The sequence below is a fragment of the Homo sapiens genome, chromosome 5 (genome assembly GCF_000001405.40).
Source record: "Homo sapiens chromosome 5, GRCh38.p14 Primary Assembly".
NCBI classification, from domain to species: Eukaryota; Metazoa; Chordata; class Mammalia; order Primates; family Hominidae; genus Homo; species Homo sapiens.
The window spans coordinates 2259432-2278957 of record NC_000005.10 but is presented as its reverse complement, the minus strand read 5'-3'; the positions used below and the strand labels follow the sequence as shown (position 1 = coordinate 2278957).

The 19526-nt window shown below is 47.5% G+C and overlaps 1 long non-coding RNA gene across 1 annotated transcript, besides 3 other annotated features; it reads right to left on the bottom strand.

Moving 5' to 3' along the window:
- Nucleotides 1-465: 465 nt before the first annotated feature.
- Nucleotides 466-11997, bottom strand: LOC124901166 (uncharacterized). Its single transcript, XR_007059105.1, has 2 exons — nt 11838-11997; nt 466-725 (listed from the first exon to the last, which is right to left on the bottom strand). It is a non-coding gene; the product is annotated as an uncharacterized LOC124901166 (long non-coding RNA).
- Nucleotides 8749-9275: an enhancer, noted in NCBI's record as "NANOG-H3K4me1 hESC enhancer chr5:2269797-2270323 (GRCh37/hg19 assembly coordinates)". NCBI's record gives its function as "activates a minimal SCP1, AML or CMV promoter by ChIP-STARR-seq in naive H9 embryonic stem cells {active_cell/tissue: H9 hESC(naive)}" and the evidence as "EXISTENCE:reporter gene assay evidence [ECO:0000049][PMID:30033119]".
- Nucleotides 9276-9803: an enhancer, noted in NCBI's record as "NANOG-H3K4me1 hESC enhancer chr5:2269269-2269796 (GRCh37/hg19 assembly coordinates)". NCBI's record gives its function as "activates a minimal SCP1, AML or CMV promoter by ChIP-STARR-seq in naive H9 embryonic stem cells {active_cell/tissue: H9 hESC(naive)}" and the evidence as "EXISTENCE:reporter gene assay evidence [ECO:0000049][PMID:30033119]".
- Nucleotides 18011-18801: an enhancer, noted in NCBI's record as "H3K4me1 hESC enhancer chr5:2260271-2261061 (GRCh37/hg19 assembly coordinates)". NCBI's record gives its function as "activates a minimal SCP1, AML or CMV promoter by ChIP-STARR-seq in primed H9 embryonic stem cells {active_cell/tissue: H9 hESC(primed)}" and the evidence as "EXISTENCE:reporter gene assay evidence [ECO:0000049][PMID:30033119]".

Sequence of the window (19526 nt, the reverse complement as noted above, 5' to 3'; positions counted from 1 at the left end):
CGCCGCCCGCCGCTCCCACCACCCTCGCCACCCTTCCCTTCCTCCAAGTGAACTTTTAGAGGAAAAGTAAACGGAGTGGGAAAGGGAAAACAGGGTTATTGAGGACCGATGAGATTCCATCTAGGTTGTTCCAATAATGAGATCAAAGTCTTCCTCCATAGAGTCCTGAAGCGTCAGGGGGTAGACGGCAGGGTCTCGAGAGAGGTGGGTGTGGAGGAGGAAGGATGTGCTTGTGTACGACGCTGGGTGGGGGCATCTTTGGCCATGCGTGTGAGTTTGTCTGCTGTGATGCTGTGTGTGTGTGCACCATTGCACTGTGTGTGTGCACCAGAGAGCTGCCTGAGGCCCGAGCCACAGCAGTGGACGCACCTTGGGGAGAATGACAGACAGGACACTGGCGCAAACCTAACAGGGCAATGATTTTTTCTCTACCGTCTGCCAGGCAGGATTCTCTTAGCACTCTCATTTATAAATTTTTCAGCTTTAATGTTTTAATTATTTAAAATGCAAATAGGTTCAAGGAGAAAGCAGCAGAAAATACAAATTCCCTCAACAAATTCCTTGTGCAGGGGCTACAGGGCTGCAGGTGCAGGCGCTGTCCCACCACGAGGGGCTGTGTCCTGAGAGCTGGGGTGCTCCTGAGCTCGGGGGCCAGGTCCTCTCAGAAGGTGATCGGCTTGGATGGGACGAGGCAGGTCTGATGTAGACGACAGAGGACAAGGGCCCTGTAATAAACACACCTGCAGTTGGGAGACTGAGCATATGTGGAATACACGCCATGGGGAAAGCCGGCAGCATCGTGGAGCGTCAGTGCTCAGCAGACCTGGCTGTGCTCCCATCCATACTCTCCACAGACCTGTGCACGGCTGACTCGCCACCCACCGCCCTGCACCCCCAGATGGCCAAACCTCCTCCGGCAGACAGAGCTTCCTCTCCTTTCTCTTTCTCTCTGAGGCAGTGATTCCACAGGGAAGGGTAACCACCCGGTCCCTCTCCCGTGACGACTCACAGACACCAGTGCCTCAGGTTTGCATCCCAGTAGATGAAAAACAACAGCACAGGCTGGACACGGTGGCTCACGCCTGTAATCCCAGCAGTTTGGAAGGCTCCCGGTAAATGAAAAACAACAACACAGGCTGGACATGGTGGCTCACGCCTGTAATCCCAGCACTTTGGGAGGCTCCCAGTAGATGAAAAACAACAGCACAGGCTGGACACGGTGGCTCACGCCTGTAATCCCAGCGGTTTGGGAGGCCGAGGTAGGCGGATCACCTGAGGTCAGGAGCTCGAGACCAGCCTGGCCGACATGGTGAAACCCTGTCTCTACTAAAAATACAAAATTACTGGGCATGGTGGGGCATGCCTGTAATCCCAGCTACTTGGGAGGCTGAGGCAGGAGAATCACTTGAACCTGGGAGGTGGAGGCTGCAGTGAGCCGAGATGGCGCCATTGCACTCCAGCCTGGGTGACTGAGCAAGACTCTGTCTCAAACATCAACAACAGCAAAACCAGCACAGCCTCAGGGACCACAGGAAGGGAGAGGCCTGAGGCCTGTCATTTCAGGAAACACCTGATCATTGGCGGTGGGGCCTTGAGCTACACATGTGAGACTGAAATGTGGACCTGAGAGGCGTGAGGGTCAGCAGTGTAGGGACTGTCACGGGGCCGGAGACTCCAACAGATGCCGGCGCAGGGGGTCAGCACCCAGTAGGGGAGCCTCCTGTTGGTGGCCCCTGCTGTTCCTGGCTCTGTGCTCATCCCACCCTCAGATGCCCCTGGAGGAGTGAAGGAGCTGGCAGGGTGCACACACTCAGCCAGGCCGTGGTGGGTCCTGCTCCCATGCTGTATGCTTCCTTGGCTGTCTGGGAGACTCTGGAGAAGGAAGTGCATACGGGACTGGCCCCTGAAGAATGGGGTCTTCAACAAGTAAGGACAGGCGGCTGCAGGCCTCAAGTCCTCCATCCCTGGTGCCTCCTGACTCTGTCCCAGGGCCCTGGAAGGGCTGGGGACTCCCAGGGCACAGGCAGCATCCATGGGCAGAGGCTCTTCTGTCCCCTCTCATGAGCTTCAGGGACCATCTTCTCTTGTACACGACAGTGAGAAAATGCAAAAGCAAATTGCAGGTGTGTGCATTTCTTCTGGGGAGGCCTAGACTTGGCTCAAATTTACAAGTTTGTGAAGAGAGAGAAGAAAGAAAGAGAGAGAGATGAGAGCCATGTCTTCTGTTTTCTGTGAGCTCTGTCCATTACTCTGCAGCCTAAAAGCACCCCCATTAGGGAGCTTCCCCTCCACGCCTCCCTCTGTGTTAAAGCCAGAGGTTTACCCAGGGCATTCAGCAGTCCACCCCTAGCATGGAGAGGAGCGGGCCTACAGGCACCAGCTTCTCCACGCTGTTCCAAGAAATGGAAAAGATACGGGATTTGGAGGCTAAGACCCAGATTCACATCCTGACTTCCTGAATGTGGGAAATTCAGCAAATCTCCCGGAGCCAAAGTTCTTCATTTGTAAAATGGGCAAATTTAACCCAGCTTTGAGCAAAGAGAAAGTGATAGAAATAGGAATCCTTGTCACCTGGGAGCGTTCCTGAGGTTGGATGAAGGGGTTTACCTGTGGGAGGGTGTGATGGGAGGGAGGGCAGGGCCACTGGCCCCCTTCCCGCAGAGCCCCGGAGCCCTTCTGTCCTGGCCACGTGGCAGCACCCACGGGGGGACACACATGCGGCTGATATACATTTAACGGTCCAGTGCCTGTTATAAAAGCTCTTGCACACTAAGAATGAACTTCTATGCATCATTGGGGTTCCAAGGTATGCTGGATAGAAGAAAGATGCAAAATACCAAAAATGTTCCATTTTTCTGATTTTTCCCATAGTTTAGACGTGGATTTTCTTTATGCCAGCCCCAGTGTAAGGTTTTCTCACCTCCAGCATCTCAGATGCAAATGCCTCTTCTCCCTCCACCTTCCACCCTAAGCCTCTCTCCCTGACCCGAGACCACTTTTCCAGTTTGACTTGAAACTCCAGATGTGGCTTGGACATAGGCTGTTTAAGTGGTATAAGCTGCCTGCTTTTCAGAATTTGCTAATGGTTGAACTTAATTGATTGGCAAATTTAATTTGAATTAGAAATATACTCTGCCCTGGGCCAGGCACCGTGGCTCATGCCTGTAATCCCAGCACTTCGGGAGGCTCAGGTGGGTGGATCACGGGGTCAGGAGTTCAAGACCAACCTGACCAACATGTCGAAACCCTGTCTCTACTAAAAATACAAAAATTATCACAGCATGGTGGCACGCGCCTGTAGTCCCAGCTATTCTGGAGGCTGAGGCAGGAGAATCGCTTGAACCTGGGAGGCGGAGGTTGCGGTGAGCCGAGATTGTACCGCTGCACTCCAGCCTGGGCTACAGCACAAGACTCCATCTCAAAAAAAGAAAAGAAAAGAAATATAGTCTGCCCTGGTCACTTGGTCAACACAGCCATTTCATCAACTTTTCAATGAGGACAGTGCACATTATAAATGGCGGAAGATAACTCCGGGCTGGTGCCCCCGATGCTTCGTTCTGCATCATTATTTCCTTTTTGCTACATGCTCTCTCTGCAGGAGGCTGTGGGACAGGAGAGAGCCATGTGCCTTCGGAACCCTTAGATACAGGTCAATAGTAAAGCAGGGCGAGGACCTGGGAGAAAACTGTGGGGCTGAAGAGCCCTGGAAGAAGGCTTTAGCGGCTTTGGTGCTAAAATATTCTCTTTTAAAGTCTTTTAAAGAGCAGGGGAAAATTGTCTCTGTGAACTGACCCAAGCTGGTTTGCATTTGTGTGAGCGTCAGGTCCTGAAGGAAACTGGTCCTCATCATAAATCTGGTTCAATTTTCTTTAACTTTCACTGTGTGCATCCTTCCTCCTTTCTGAGCAAGGGGTTTCTTAGTCCATAATCACCACATTAAGATAGAAACACAGTGGCAAAGTGGAAACTTCAGTCTCTGTGGAAATGGGCATTTTAAAAAGAAGTGGTAGAAATGGGAAGCCTTGTCACCTGGGAGCGTTCCTGAGGTTGGTTGAAGGGGTTTACCTGTGGGAGGGTGTGATGGGAGGGAGGGCAGGGCCACTGACCCCCTCCTCCCTGCTGACCCCCGGAGCCCCGGAACCCCGGAGCCCTTCTGTCCTAGCCATTTGGCAGCACCCACAGAGGGACACACATGCAGCTGACATACATTTAACGGTCCTAATGGGTTTGAGCAGAAGTCAGGGTATTATGAAAGGAAGTTCATGTATTAGTGTACCTTGTCTTTGAGTCAGAACTCTGGAAAATATGGATTTGTAGAGCAGATGGAGATCAGGTAGTTATTGGCTGTAGTAAACACAGATCATTGTTTATAGTAAACATGCTTTGTCCATCAGAGATAGACTGGATAATGAAAATGTGGCACATATACACCATGAACTACTATACAGCCATAAAAAGGAGTGAGATCCTGCCCTTTGCAGGGATGTAGACGGAGCTGGAAGCTGTTATCCTCAGCAAACTAATGCAGGAACAGAAAACCAAATTTAAGAACCACATGTTCTCACTTAAAAATGAGAGCTGAACGATAAGAACACACGGACACATGGAGGTGGGAACAACACACATTGGGGCCTGTGGGGGCCGGGGGGAAGGAGAGGATCAGGAAGAATAGCTAATGGATGCTGGGCTTAATACCTAGGCGATAGGATGGTCTGTGCAGAAAACCACCATGCCACACATTTACCCATGTAACAAACCTGCACATCCTGCACGCGAACCCCAGAACTTAAAATAAAAGCTGAAGGAAAAATTAAAAAGACATGTTTTGTCCTAGTGTGCGCTGTAATCTCAGCTACTCTGGAGGCTGAGGAGGGAGGGCTATTTGAGCCCAGGAGGTCCAGTCCAGCCTCAGCAACATAGCAGGACCCCAATCTCTCTCTCTCTCTCTCTCTCTCTCTCTCTCTCTCTGTCTCTCTCTCAAAGAAGAAGAAGGAAGAGGAGGAGGAGGAGGAGGAGGAGGAGGAAGAGAAGGAGTTGAAGTTTTGAAACCGGACTTGAACTCCACAGAAGGATTTTTGAGTCCAATTCACTGAATGGGCTTCAGAATCATAAAGAAACATTGACTTTTGATATCCACCCATTACTATTTTACCAGATATAGAATTAATGATGAAACATCTGCCAAGCAACTATTTTAATCCTGTTAAGTTGGTAGAAAGATGAAAAAAAAAATCTACTAGAAACCAAATCTGGTTTTTCACAGCAATGAAAATCAGTGTTTTACATAAAGGCACAGTGAGTCCTGCCCCCCGGATAAAGCCAAATTCAGCCCAGAAAGGTTATCTCAGGCGGGCACTTATGGTGCTTTTCTCTAAATTTTCACTTCAATTAATCTCTAGAAATTTGGTGTCTGATCCCCGTGACAGAAGCCTCTGGCTTCTTCAGAGTGACTGCCGAGGAAAAATTATCTGACACATATCAAACACGCAAGAAACCACACTGGACAGCATTAATCAAAACTTTCTCATTTCCCGAAGAATTAAGCATTAAATAATTAATCCCAGCACTACAGGCAGCTGTAAAAGAGGCCTCATGCCTCCCTGCTGGTAGGAATTTGTCCTTGTCTAAAAGACTAGATTGATATATTTATTATTTATCAGATTAATCATGGCCAGGAACATTATAGATTGGCAGCCCAGCCCAGCCGGGGATGGCGTCTGGCCCTTATCAGAGCAGAGAGGCTCCCACTGACACCGCATGCAGAGGGTGGAGGGAGCAGCTGCCCTCCAGCCTTTCCTGCGAAGGAAAAGGTGTTTAAAACATTATCTTAAAAAGAGAGCGAGAGAAAAAAGGAAAGTCAAAGAAGAGAGCTGATGAGGAAGATACCATTGACCTGGGGCCAGAGGAAAGGCCCAGGGGTCGTGGGAGAGCCGTGGGCCGTGGGCCGTGGGCCGGAATTTCAAGGGACGCTATGAAGCCAAGATCATGAGCTGTGAGTCCGAGCTCCAGCGGCTCCATGTGTATGTCAATCAACGCTGCCTTCTTGACTTGGAACCCTTCACATCCCCTAACCTCGCCCTTCAGTGGCCCCGACCACCACTCCCTGCAGGCAGCTGCTGTCTCATTTTTGGCTGATCTTTTTTTGCAAGGCTGGGTTGCCACACAGCTGTCCTGGCTGTCCTGGGGGCTGAGCGCATCTGACTGAAGACAGGAGAGAGCAGACGTCAGGGAAGAGCCCTTCTCCATGCCTGTGAATTGTGGTGGCTCTCATTTCATTGTTGAGATACTTATTTCATCAGAACAAGGGTTTTCTAATCAAGCAAATCCAAATGTCCAGGATTTCTACTCAGATTTGAACAGCAAGAACAGTTCATGGAGGTAGAGAATAGCACCCAAGCAGAGAAGGGCGTGAAACCTTTCAATCTCATGATTGATTCACAGACATTTTAAGGAAAAAGGGGTTCGCTTGGGTAAATAAATTCGGGAAACTCTGGGTAAATTGGCTTAAATGGGCTGCCTTTCTGCAGGACTGCTCAGAGCCTTCTTAAGGCTGGATGGTTTTGTGGGACCCTCGACGGCTTTACGTAAGCAATGCTTCCCCACTGGGGCCCAAGAACACACGTTCAGACCCCGGCCTGGAGACTTCAATCCCTCAAACATGGCAGCCTCTCCAGCCTCCCCCTCCAACCCCAGCCACCTTCTGGCACAGGGTCTGAGTGAGGCAGGTCAGAGACTGGGAAGAGGCCAGGACGGTCTGACCACACCCTCTGTCCACTTAAGGATGCTGTCATTCTGGAAAGGCAGTTGATTCACTTGTTAGTAGCGAGGAGGCCAGTCTGGAGGGGTCGAAGGACACACACTTTGGTTGACAGAAGGCGGCTCTCCCAGCCCTTCACACAGTCCCTGGGGCAACTCCACGAGTCCGAGATGGAAAACTCTCCATTTTACTTTCCTTAGTAAAACTTACCAAGGAATGTTATTGATACGTATAAATAGATTTATGTACTAAATAACTATACATGTTTATTGAAAATGATTATGTGAATAATTCATGCAGAATAAACTTTATTTTCTTAGAATAAAATCGACTGACCTTGAATTACTCAAATAGTGGCTTCAGGTTTGCTGTGTGAATGTGGATCTCACCCCCAGCCTCTTCCAGGACTCCCTCCCTTGACCACCTCCCTCCCCTGACCACTCCCCTCCCCTGACCAGCTCTCCTCCCCTCACCACCTCCCTCCCCTCACCACCTCCCTCCCCTCACCACTCCCCTGCCCTGACCACCTCCGTCTCCTGACCACCTCCCTCCCCTCACCACCTTCCTCCTCTCACCACCTTCCTCCTCTCACCACCTCCCTCCCCTCACCACCTCCCTCCCCTCACCACTCTCCTGCAGGCACAGGTCTGCCCACCATGAGTCCGTGATAGCAGCCACAAGCCAGTTACAGCGTTGGACCCATGCCCCCCTTCTGTTCTGCTAACGGTCAACACTGGGCCAACCGTGGAAGACTCCAAGCCGCCCATTCCTGGGGTCAGAAGCATGCAGGTCGTCCTTTTGCAAACACAAAAGCTGAAACACAGATGCCTTCTCAGGGAAGAATTCCTGCGTTTAGGAAGGGAAATTGTTCCCTGCAGCTGCACCTAGCAGGCTTAGGCTTCCAGGGTTCTCTCTGGGTTTAATAAGCATCACCATTTTCCTAAGGTGCTGTTTGGTTGCCAAATTCAGATAAAATGTTTTGTTTTACAGATAGAAAATCCAAGATGCTAACAGGTTTAAGTGATGTTTTCATCGCCACACCTTTTCCATACATAATTTAACTACAATTTCACCCTTTCTTTCAGTAATAACTTAATTGGTACGATATAAATGACATCAGATTAAAAAATATATTAAGAGTCCACTCATTTCTCTCAGGAATGCGATAAATGATCATCAGTGGATTTAGAGAGGGTTTGTGCGGAGTATGAATAATTTAATTTCCATTGCTCGACAAATTTGCAAATGTTTTTAAGCCATCTAATTTTTTTCCTTTTAGTTTGACTAACTAGAAGTTGTTTTCATTATTTCCAATATCACATATGTATTCTGCTCACAGGTGTGAGCGGCCCTGCATGTAGATCTGCCTCCCGCCGATCCTCCGGACTGCACACAGGTGGTGCAGGCAGGTGAGCAGCTGTGAGCTGTGCTGCAGGGGTCAGTGCTGCCTGCGACCGCAGGGCACCCCAGGTGACGACAGCCAGCCCTGACCCTGGGAAGAGCGGCCAGGAGGAACAGGTATTTCTCAAACAAGAATGGATAGAGGAAGCTGCACCAGGTAGGAGGAGCCTCCTGAGCAGAAACAGAGAGGCCTGGAGGAGCTGCCTGCGGGCTGGGGTGGCCGCACAGAAAAGCAGAGGAGGACCTGGAGGCTGCAGCACTAGAGCCCTTTACAAACCTGACTTGGCTGCAGTGAGATGTGTGAAGGCAGAATCTGACAGTCCGAAATGATGAACATGATGGACAGTAACTATGCAGTGTAGTAACAAACTCTAAATCTATTGAAAAATTAAGGGGAATTCCCATGTTTTTGTATGGAATTGGGTTTTGAATGAACCCATTGAAGACACTGAAATTCTTAAAATAAATGAACAAGCATAGAACAGGCTGGGGTGGGCATGGGAAGTGCTGTGTCCCCTGCCTGGAGACATACGGGCTGTCCCTGAGCCCCACCCTGCCTCTGCCTGCCCTCACCTGCTGTCCTTCCTCCAGGAACGCCCTGTGTCTCTTCTTTACCAAGATTCTGCTTACATCCCAGGTATGGTCTGAATGTCTGTGTCCCCCACCAAATTCCTATTTTGAAAGCTCACCCTCAAGGTGGTAGCATCAAGAGGTGGGACTTTGAGAGGAAGGAGATCAGGCGATGACGGTGGTGTGCTCAAGATGGGGCAGTGTCCGACAGGGAGAGCTGACTGTGTCTCCCACTCTTTCCATCCCATGAAGACACAGGAAGAAGGCAGCCCTCAGAGCCAGGGGGCCTCCCCAGAGCCCACCACTGTGCCCACACCCTGATCCTGGACGTCCAGCATTGGAACTGTGGGAATAAATGTCTGCTATTGGAGCCCCCGGCCTGTCATGAAGCCCAGCCTAAGGTAAACCCCCTTCCTTGGGAAACTCCTCCTCAATCTCTCTGCAGGTTGCTTCTTGGTGAGACTCCCTTGCCTGCTCGGCCACCCTGTCCACCCACCACTGGTCTACCACATCTCACTGTCTACAGCTCTGTGTAACCAGCTCTCTGCAACCAGCTCTGTGTAACCAGCTCTCTCTCTCTGTAACTAGCTCCCTGTAACCAGCTCTCTCCACACTCAGAGCAGTCCTTGACTCGGAGCCCACCCAGCTTAGGCACAGGAGGGGCCGCGTGGGCTGAGCCTGCTGAGGGCACCTGTGTGGATTCAGGGACCATGCTGTTCTCTTGATGTCTTCCTTTATTCAGAGAATCTGAAGTGGTTAGTTGGATGGTAAGGCTGGTTCTCTCTAGAGAAGCCTCTTTCTGAAGAACTCACACCACCATCATCCTGCCTTTAAAACAAAGCCAGCCCCATCCACCACCAGCTGTGTGGGCTGGGACAAAAGGGACTAGAGGCTGGGGGACAGGCTCCCATAGAAACTCAAGTCAGATCCACACTCCAAACAATTAGCTCTCCAGAGAACCACTGGAATTTGTATAAGGAGTATAAGGAGAGGAATTAAAATAAAAATAAATTAAATACATTGGTATAATTCATAATTTTTTGGTAAATATAAATAATCAACTCAAGATGAAGAAATTTTGAGGTTATCAGTAATAACCAATGGAACTAAAAAAAGTCAAAATTTTTTCCCATAACTGTTTCTAGGGCAAGAGGATTTATAGGCAAATTTCATCAAGATTTCAAGAAACGTTTTATTCCAATACCATATGAATTACAAGAAAGTTAAAACAAGACCACAGAAAAGCGACTCAATTCAAATCTTAAAAATAGCAAAAATCTGGATATGAATAACCTGACAAAAAAGACAGAGTGTGAGAAACACAGCTTGGGCTCATGTACAGTTGTCTGTGTAATCCCCGAGCGGCAACTTTTACATGTCTGGGGATTTTGCAAGATGGTTGTTGTATTAGTCCATTCTCATATGGCCATAAAGGCATACCTAAGGCTGGGTAATTTATGAAGAAAAGAGGTTTAATTGACTCACAGTTCTGCAGGCTGTACAGGAAGCATGGCTGGGAGGCCTCAGGAAAGTTACAGTCATGGTGGAAGGTGAAGAGGAAGCAAGCAGGTCTTACCATGGTGGCAGGAGAGAAAGACAGAGCAAAGGAGAAAGAGCTCCACACTTGTAAACCACCAGATCTCATGAGAACTCACTCACTATCACGAGAACAGCAAGGGGGAAATCCGCCCCATGATACAATCACCTCCCACCAGGTCCCTCCCCCAGCACTGGGAATTACAATTCAACATGAGATTTGGGTGGGGACACAGAGCCAAACCATATCAGTTGTTAAAAGTAGCCATTATTTAAAAATGTTTAAAATAAACCCATATTAGTTATTAAAAATAGCCATTATTTAAAAATTTACTAATGGCTATTGTTAAAAACAGCCATTTTGAAAGCCATTATGACATTACTATATAAATTTAAAATTAATAAATTGTATTTTTAAAGGCAATGCTTACTAAAGAAGCTTCCCGTTTTACCCTCTGCACGCCTCTACTCCCGCGCCTGTGCGGTGGAAATGCACTGAGGACGGCCGCCATGCTCCTCCTCGCCCGACGCTCCCGGAAGTCCCCCTGGCAGCCTGAGGTCAGCATCCCCGCGGGAATATTTACACCATGGAGGCTGGCAAATGCTGCCCAGCAGGACTTGTTTCCTTGTTTGGTTTTGTTGACTGTCTAAACTTACAGAAGTAATGGAGGACAAAATGTAAAATATGAAATCAAATGTAAAGGTGGCTCATGTCTTTAGTCATGTTATTGTAATGAGCACAATGAACTGAGAAAAAAGTCTCCCTGTGTTGGAAAAAATTCTCCCCTGTATTGGAAAACTATTATGCAGTTCAGCAAAGAAGCCCTCACATCACGGACAAATGAGTCAAATTCCGACTGTGTTCTTCTCGTCAAACTTTTGTGTCACTAACATAAATCAAAATATCAACCAACCTTCATCTCATTCATATTGAAAGTGATTGTCAATTGCAGCCAGAGGTTGGCTACAGAGTCAGGAGTTCAGCAAATTCAATAAAACATTCTGAGGATCAATTGCTTGTGTGACATTTACAATAAAGAGTATTGTATATTGTATTATTATTTGTTGATTATGTGCCAAACATCCCTTATATCAGTAGAACTTATTTTTTAAAAATATGTAAGCATATGTGTGCATATAATTTTTTCAGAGCGCTAGATATTTACCAGCACTCCTCTGCATAAAATACTAATGAATCAGACTTCACAATTCATTAAAAGTCAAATCTACCAATATCAAAATTGATTTATCAAAAAAGTAGGGTGGCTTACCTTAACAATATATCTATTAATATAGTATATGGCATTAATAGTTTATTAGAAAGCCGTGTAGCCAGATAAATAGATGTTACAAAGGCAAGCCCATTAATGTCTTCATATGTAAGAATTATGTATCATAATTATAATATATATTCAACTAGCATATATCATGAATCTACATATTCATAGCATATATCATGAATTTAGCATATTCAAAAATCTACTAAAGAGTATATACTTAACCTGGTAGGGAATATTTGCCCCAGCCCACCAATCAACATCATCTAACAGCAGAACACCCGAGGTATCCTTACTAAAATCCAGGGACTCAAGGCACTTTCCAACATTCCGCTCCGGCACAGCTGCGTTAAGGGGTAGGACTCCCCTAGATTGGAGTTCAGCTTCTACCTTTGCTTCCGCCTGCCCTGTGGTTGGGGCAAGCTTTGGTTTGCTTGTTTTAGGAGTCTCTGAGGATTAAATCAGATGACGTATGTGAAGTATTCCTTGCGGCCTCTTCTGTACTGTGAGAGCTAAATACATTATGGACAGTGCAATTCTGTGAGCCAGAAATAATTGGCAAAGTGACTGGGAAGCAGGAAATAAAATTGCCTTTATTTGCTGATCATGTGATTTTTGCGGCTGGGCTACATCAAAGAATCACCTAAAAATAAATGAAATAGCAGAAGGTCGGGTGGAGACACACACACACTGTCACCAGATCAGAGGCTTTTATGTCATACTACAATTGACATTTATAATCTATGATGGGAAAGTGATCATTCAGTTCATAAAATAGAACAATTAAGAAATGAGGAGGACCCACCTGAAGTATTGTTATAATTTGAAAAATATAGAAGAGTTTGAGTCAAAGGTGAAATTCAAAATATGCAAGTTGTTTTTGTTTAACAAATGAACATGGGAACCATTTTGGAGGTCTATGTGACAAAATGTTTCTAAAAATGTGTCTGAAATAACAAAATTACTGCAAATAGTTCTCCCTCTTCCCTGCTTCCCTGCCTTCCCCATTTTTTTTTATTTTATTTTTTTTTTTTTGAGACTGAGTTTTGCTCTTGTTGCCCAGGATAGAGTACAGTGGCACCATCTCTGCTCACTGCAACCTCCACCTCCTGGGTTCAAGTGATTCTCCTGCCTCAGCCTCCTGGGTAGCTGGGATTACAGGCACATGCCACCACACCCAACTAAATTTTGCATTTTTAGTAGAGACGGGCTTTCAACGTGGGTTGGCCAGGCTGGTCTCAAACTGCTGACCTCAGGTGATCCACCCGCCTCAGCCTCCCAAAGTTCTGGGATTACAAGCGTGAGCCACTGTGCCCGGCCTTGCCTTCCCCTTTTACCTTCAATTTTCTTTTCTTTTTTTTTTTTTTTTTGCTTTTTTCATTTTTGTCTTTATAAAGAAAATTTATTTAATCTAGGAGATTGTAAAACATGTAAGATTACAGTCATTGTTTGGCTTTCATGCTAAAATATGCAAATGAAAAAACAGATACACACATTTGAATATGAAGATTAGCATTTAATACATGGCAAGTACGTAGGGCATTAGTAAGTATGATAACAAGATAGTTTAAACACTATATGTAATAAAAATGAAAACACATGACATACAAGAAAAAAATGGGGTCACCAATCTCTGGAAGCAAAAGGATTTTCCCAATATGTCAGTTTTTAAGGCAGTGTGCAAATGCACATTGATACCTTGGACCACATAACTGATGAACAGGCTTGCATTTAAAAAATAAAACTAAGTGGAAGACACACTGCGAAAATATTGCAACTGATATGATTTTAAAATCTCTTATAAATTAAATAAGATAAAATATTAAGACCTCAGTGGAAGAGGAGTGAGGCGTGTGAACTGAGCCGAGGGCGGGGCAGGGCGAGGATAGTGGCGACCGCAGGTTCACAAGTCCTAGCACTGATAAAAGGTCAACAATCAGGAAACAACGTTTTTTATCTATCCATTTTGTAATTTCATTAAAAATGAAAATACCAGTGGAGACCGAGTGTGCTAACATGACTACCTTCATTTGCTATCGTGCATGCACATTCGCTGTGACAGTTTCATAATATGCATTAAGATAAAGGCTGCTCAGTGATGGGATGAATTCAAATTCATTGTAGAGATTTTTGTTGGGACAAAAGGTAACAAGAGGATACAAAAATAAACCACAAGTAAACTATTTATGTTTTTACTGGGTATTTCCACTTACATGTATGTGTGTATTATATTATTATATATATGTATTTGTGTAGTCATATATTTATGTGTGCAGATATAAAGATATTTCTATAGCAGAGATTATATTAATATATAGTTTTTATCTTGCCTTTTTACTTAACATAAATCTTTACCATTTAAACCATGTATTTCTTTTATTTCTTTAAAAAAAAAACAGGATACAAGCGCAGAACGTGCAGATTTATTAATAGGCGTACGTGTACAATGGTGGTTTGCAGCACCTAGTGACCTGTCCTCTAAGTTCCTCCCCTAAAACCCCACCCCTCAACAGACCCTGGTGTGTGATGTTCCCCTCTCAGTGTCCATGTGTTCTCAGTGTTCAGCTCCCACTTATAAGTGAGAACATGTGGTGTTTGGTTTTCTGTTCCTGTGTTACTTGGTGAGGATGATGGCTCCCAGCCTCATCCATGTCCCTGCAAAGGACATGATCTCATTCCTTTTTATGGCTGCATAGTATTCCATGGGGTATATGTACCACATTTTCTTTATCCAGCCTTTCATCAATGAGCATTTGGGTTGGTTCCATGTTTTTGCTCTTGTAAATAGTGCTGGAATACACATACATGTGCGTGTGCATGTGTCTTTAGAGTAGAATGATTTATCATCCTTTTGGTATATACCCAGTAATGGGCTTGCTGGGTCAAATGGTATTTCTGGTTCTAGATCCTTGAGGAATCGCCACACTGTCTTCCACCACGGTCGAACTAATTTACATTCCCACCGACAGTGTAAAAGGTTTCTATTTCTCCACAGCCTTGCCAGCATCTATGGTTTCCTGACTTTGTAATAACTGGCATTCTGACTGGCGTGAGATGTGGACCACGTATTTAAATATCCTCAAAGATATGCCTTTAATGGCTTCATAATATTAATATCTAATTTTGGGAACATGTTTTATTTAATCCTCCCCTAACACTGTCTATTTAGTTTCTTTTGGAGGTTTCACTGCTGCGGGTTGTTCTGCAGTGGACAACTGTAAACAAATGCCCTTTAGTGCATCTGAGATCGCTGCCTGAGCATTATCTAGTGACCCATTTCCACCACAGGGTCACTGCTCCCCGAGAGCTCCCTTGGGGACCAGAAGCCTCTGCCCTGAGCCAACCCATTTCCATTCCATGAGCCAGAAGACTGAGAACAGCCAGGTCCCAGGAGAGCCATGGCTGCCCATAACACGTGAGAGGCCTCTAACTTCCCTGCGGGCTGCCTTCCACCTCCCGTGCCGTGCCCACGTTGCATCTGGAAACTGCACTTTGCAAGTGTGGACGCTGGCTGTGGTGCTCCTGGAGGAATCACCTCCAGGAGACTGCAGTGTTCAGCTTCCTTTCCTCAGGAATGTGTCGCCTGCAAAGTGGCACGTAGATTCATGCATCTCACATGGTGAAAGGCGTTCTTACGCATTCCCGTTGGCTCCATTTGTCTTGGAAGTGTCCTTTCAAGACTCTGGTGACATTGGAAATTGTTCTGGCACTATAATTATTGGATCTGTTAAATGTTCTAGTTGGATATTTGGTACCATGGATTTCACTCTATACACATGAAACCCGAAAGCTTTTTTTATTTCTACCTATTTAACTTAAGAAAGAACAAAAAAGACAAGAAACATAGCTGTACAAATTAAGATAATAAAATTAGCATTTCCATCCACGTGAAGAGGTGGCATTGTATAACCATCCTTTTGCTTTGATAATAAAAGTCTAATCTTATTTTGGTTTTAAGAAATAGGACATTCATCTTATTAAAAATAAATATTTTATACATGTTTTCATAATCGCCTTCATAGCAGATTGCTGTTGGAATCGTGCATATGCTTCTGTTTTTTCCATTTGGGTCTGGTTACGGAGTTTGATGATTTCTTCATTGAAGTTGTTTCAGCCCACTGAGCATTAATACTTTGAATTTGTATCATTAATTTCATACCTGACCCAGAGCTATGTTTTTATTACATTAAAGAGTGCTGGAGTAGATTGTGTTCATTTAGAAATAAGTATTAGAAAAAAAAATCCAACCAAGACTCTATTGAAGCTGTTTCTATTTTATCCATACCTGTTTCTCTGTAAAACTGGTTGGCAAAGGTCTTTTCTACTGTTTTCTATAAGGAGGGCAAAGAGGATTCCTGAGTCCCAGGTTGACCTGGGATGTCCTGGGATGACCTGGGATATCTTGGGATGACCTGGGATGACCTGAGATGTCCTGGGATGATCTGGGATGTCCTAGGATGTCCTGGGATGACCCGAACGTCCTGGCCCCTGTGGTTCAGATGCAGATCTTCACCAAACCCGTGCTGACTCCTCTGACTGCCCCTGCCCTTGGGGTCGGGGAAGGGAGGTTGCTGACTTGCAGGCTACCCCTCTCAAGGGGATCCCATGGCCGCTGCCTTGATGTGGACCTTCCCGCTCTTCAGGTCCTGGGAGTGGCCCCACTGGTTTCGGAGTTCTTCTGTGCACAGCAGAGGTCAAAGGGAAAGACGTGTTTAGAGAAGAGGAGGTTGGCATGGGGTGGGGGGGTTCTGGCTGAAACCCACAATGGGCCGGGCAGGGCCTGGGAAGCTTTGTTGTTCTTTTGTGGGTTTTTTTTTATTTTTCAGCATCACTCCTACTTAATTTAATGCTTACAAGCAACCTAGTCCCTCGGGAACTTCCAATGTGAAGGCTTTCCACTGGTGTTAAACCTTGTGTGGGCTGGACCTGGGGAGTGCAATCACCAAAGCCGCTCTGCCTGGACCCCCATCTCAAGAGAGAGAGAGAGAGAGAGAGAGAGAAAGAGAGAGAGAAAGAGAGAGACTTTATTTTACAAAAAAGTTCAAAACCCTAAGCTTCTGGCCCATTCTGCCATTGTACAAACTACAACTGCTCGCTCAGAAGCTGAGGGGCACCCTTGAGTAGCATGTCTAAAAAGTGAATAAAAATCCATATAAAACAAATACCCAAATAGTTTCCATAGGAACACAGATAAGTGTGACCCGTATCCTAGTCTTCCACGTGGCTGATCCGCGCTGACCCTACTCTCACAAAGACATTTCCAAACTAGCATAATTGAGTTAAATGGTCCCCCCAACTCCCTTAATTCAAGCTAAACTTGCAGTTTAACAACTATAGGAGTGATATCTACACATTAATGCCACACTTTAACATGCCTAACACTACACATGAACACGCTTCCGGGTGCTGTTACATCCCGCTCTCTCCCAAGCACGAGACACAGGCAGGATGCTGACGTCCTGCTTCTCTGCTGCGGGCGGGAAGTCAAGACTCCGGATTTGCTGCAGGAGTTGCCGTGGGGATCCTGACTTCACGCAGGAGATGGTCGGCCTCTGGAAGTGCCTGGCCCGTTTATCCTTGAAATCTACCTGTGCAGGTGGTCCTTGCCTCAGCCCCTCAGGACAACACAGGTCTTTCCTAAGTTACAGGGAGACCATCAGATTGTCGTGTCCGAGCCCCCTGAAGTGGAACCCACAGTCTCCATTCAGTCTGCCCTCAGTTTCCCTCCCCTCTGCAGGGCCATTGCTGCTGTGGACGCGGCTCTCGCACTCCTCCACTCTCTCCGGCTGCTCAGCGTCAGGGTGTCGGTGGGGAAACAGCAAGGGATAAGGGGACAGTAAAGGCCTTACTGGTGGTGCTCCTGTGGGAAGGGGCTGCGGGCAGCCTGTGTCCGACCAGGGCCTCGTGGTCCTGTGAGGGTTGCCTCGCTGACCACATGCCCACGGGCACATACACAGATGCCGGGTTCCCCACGCCAGGAGTCCTGTAGCATCCACGCTCTCAGGCAGGATTTAAAACGCATTCCGGCTGCTCTCTTTCCCTGAAGTCTGCATGGTGGGCCCGGTGGTGCCCATGAGTCTCTTCTCCAGCAAGCTCCAGGCGCTCAAGCCGATGCCCACTCAGCCAGGCCCCTCACCGGGACACCACGTGATGCTTTCACGGAGAACATCTAGAACGCAGGTGGAAAACTCGGTCCCCTGGGAGTCCTCACTGGAGGGACCCCCGCCCTTCGCATCTGAGATCTGGTGCAACGTCAGGTGTTTCCATTTGAGAGGTGTTGCCCGTCTCAGCCACAGAGCCACCCGGAGAGCAGGCTTTCCGTCCATCTCTGTGCCACGGAGTAGCTCTGGGGCTCATGCAATTTCTTCTCTTTTCAGGGGGATCTCACCTGCTCAAGGATTCGTTCCTGAGACGGCGCTCATTTTCCCTGCTCCCATCTGTCTTTGGAGTCAGCTCCTTTCCCAGTGCCAACCTTTCACCCAGGACTCGGTCACATCATCATCCGAGACTCCCGACGCCCCCTCCTGAGGGGCTGAGTGCGTTTCAGAGGGGGCAGATGTCAGCGCTGTCCCTCCTCCAGACGGCCCTTATACTGCAGAAGCCAGCTCCATTTCCAAAGGAGACAAGTGGCAGGCTGGGTCCTTCCCTGCTGAGAGAACACCGTTCCATCAGCCCTTTTCTTTTCACACTAGGAAAGAAATGAGTTTGTAGGACGAGCACAGCCCCGGTGGGTTTGACGCTTTCCTTCTGTGAACAAGCATCAGAAAAACGCTTTCCTCATTTGGACAACGCCAAGGGGAAGCAAAACCAGACTGAAGACCTGCGCTCATGCCCACCTCAGTTCTGCCACTTGAGCTTCTAGCAGGTGGGCAAGGTCAGAGAAACTCGAGTGTCACTGCTTGAAGGCCACATCACCCAAGGATGGTGAGGCCACCTGAGGGGCAGGGCAAGGGCACAGGAGCGGTGGGCTCAGGGCGGGAGGGATAAGCACGGGTCTGGCCACAGAGACGGCTTCACCTGCCACACACGGAGTCCTTTTGGTATTCAGCCATTCACAGGCCAGGGCCTTGCCTGGACATCCACAGATCCACTGCTTGTGACAGGCAGGCCGGGTTCTGCAGTGGGCTCACTTTGCAGTAGGTCCTCATGGTGGCACTGGCCACAGGGTCCTTGGAGCCTGTCATTGACGCCTGTGGGCTCTGCCTTTGGACTTTCCAGGCTGCACCATTCCACGGCTCTGCAACTGGTGCAAAGCTGTTGGTGACATTCTTGGGCTCCGCCCTCGGATTCTTCAGGTGGCACCACTGCACAGCCCTGCAACCAATGCAAAGTTATCCAAGTCTCATCTGAGCAAAAATGACCAGTGACTGCTGGTCCCAGTACCTGGGGCTGTGTGAGATCAAGTGAGAAAAGGGACTTCGAGGGCTCAGGTCAGCTCTTGTGAAAGGTCACACTCTTTCCATAGGCTCTGCTCCATACTCCAGGATGTCCTTGAGTCCAGCTGCTTCTCCGTGAGCTGCCCCAAGGGCCTTGACCTCGGTCAGCACCTGCTGGCCGCCCTGTCTCTTCTCTCTGGCCATGCCAGCCTCCCTGGCTATCCGGGTGGTGCTGCCACACTGGGTCGACCAGCTGACTCCAGGTGCACCTGAGCAGCTCAGGTGTGTCCTGCCTGAACCTCAGGCTGACCTCAGATTTGGCTCTTTAAGAAACTCCTTGGTTTTGAGCAGGAAGAGATTGAACTTCCTGGCAAAGTGCACCAGAAAGAGCAGCCCTCAGCCCAGGGAGGGGTGGGGGTGAGTGCGGTCACAGGTGACATTCTGGTCTTCCTGTGTCCTTGTTTCAAATGTCTTTTCAGCCCCAGAAATGCTGCCAGGGTCAACAAACTATAACTGGCAACACACATATTTCTGCATGCTTAGGCTCATGCACATTTCTGCACACACGCATTCACTTCTGCACACTTAGGCACACACACTCCTGCACAC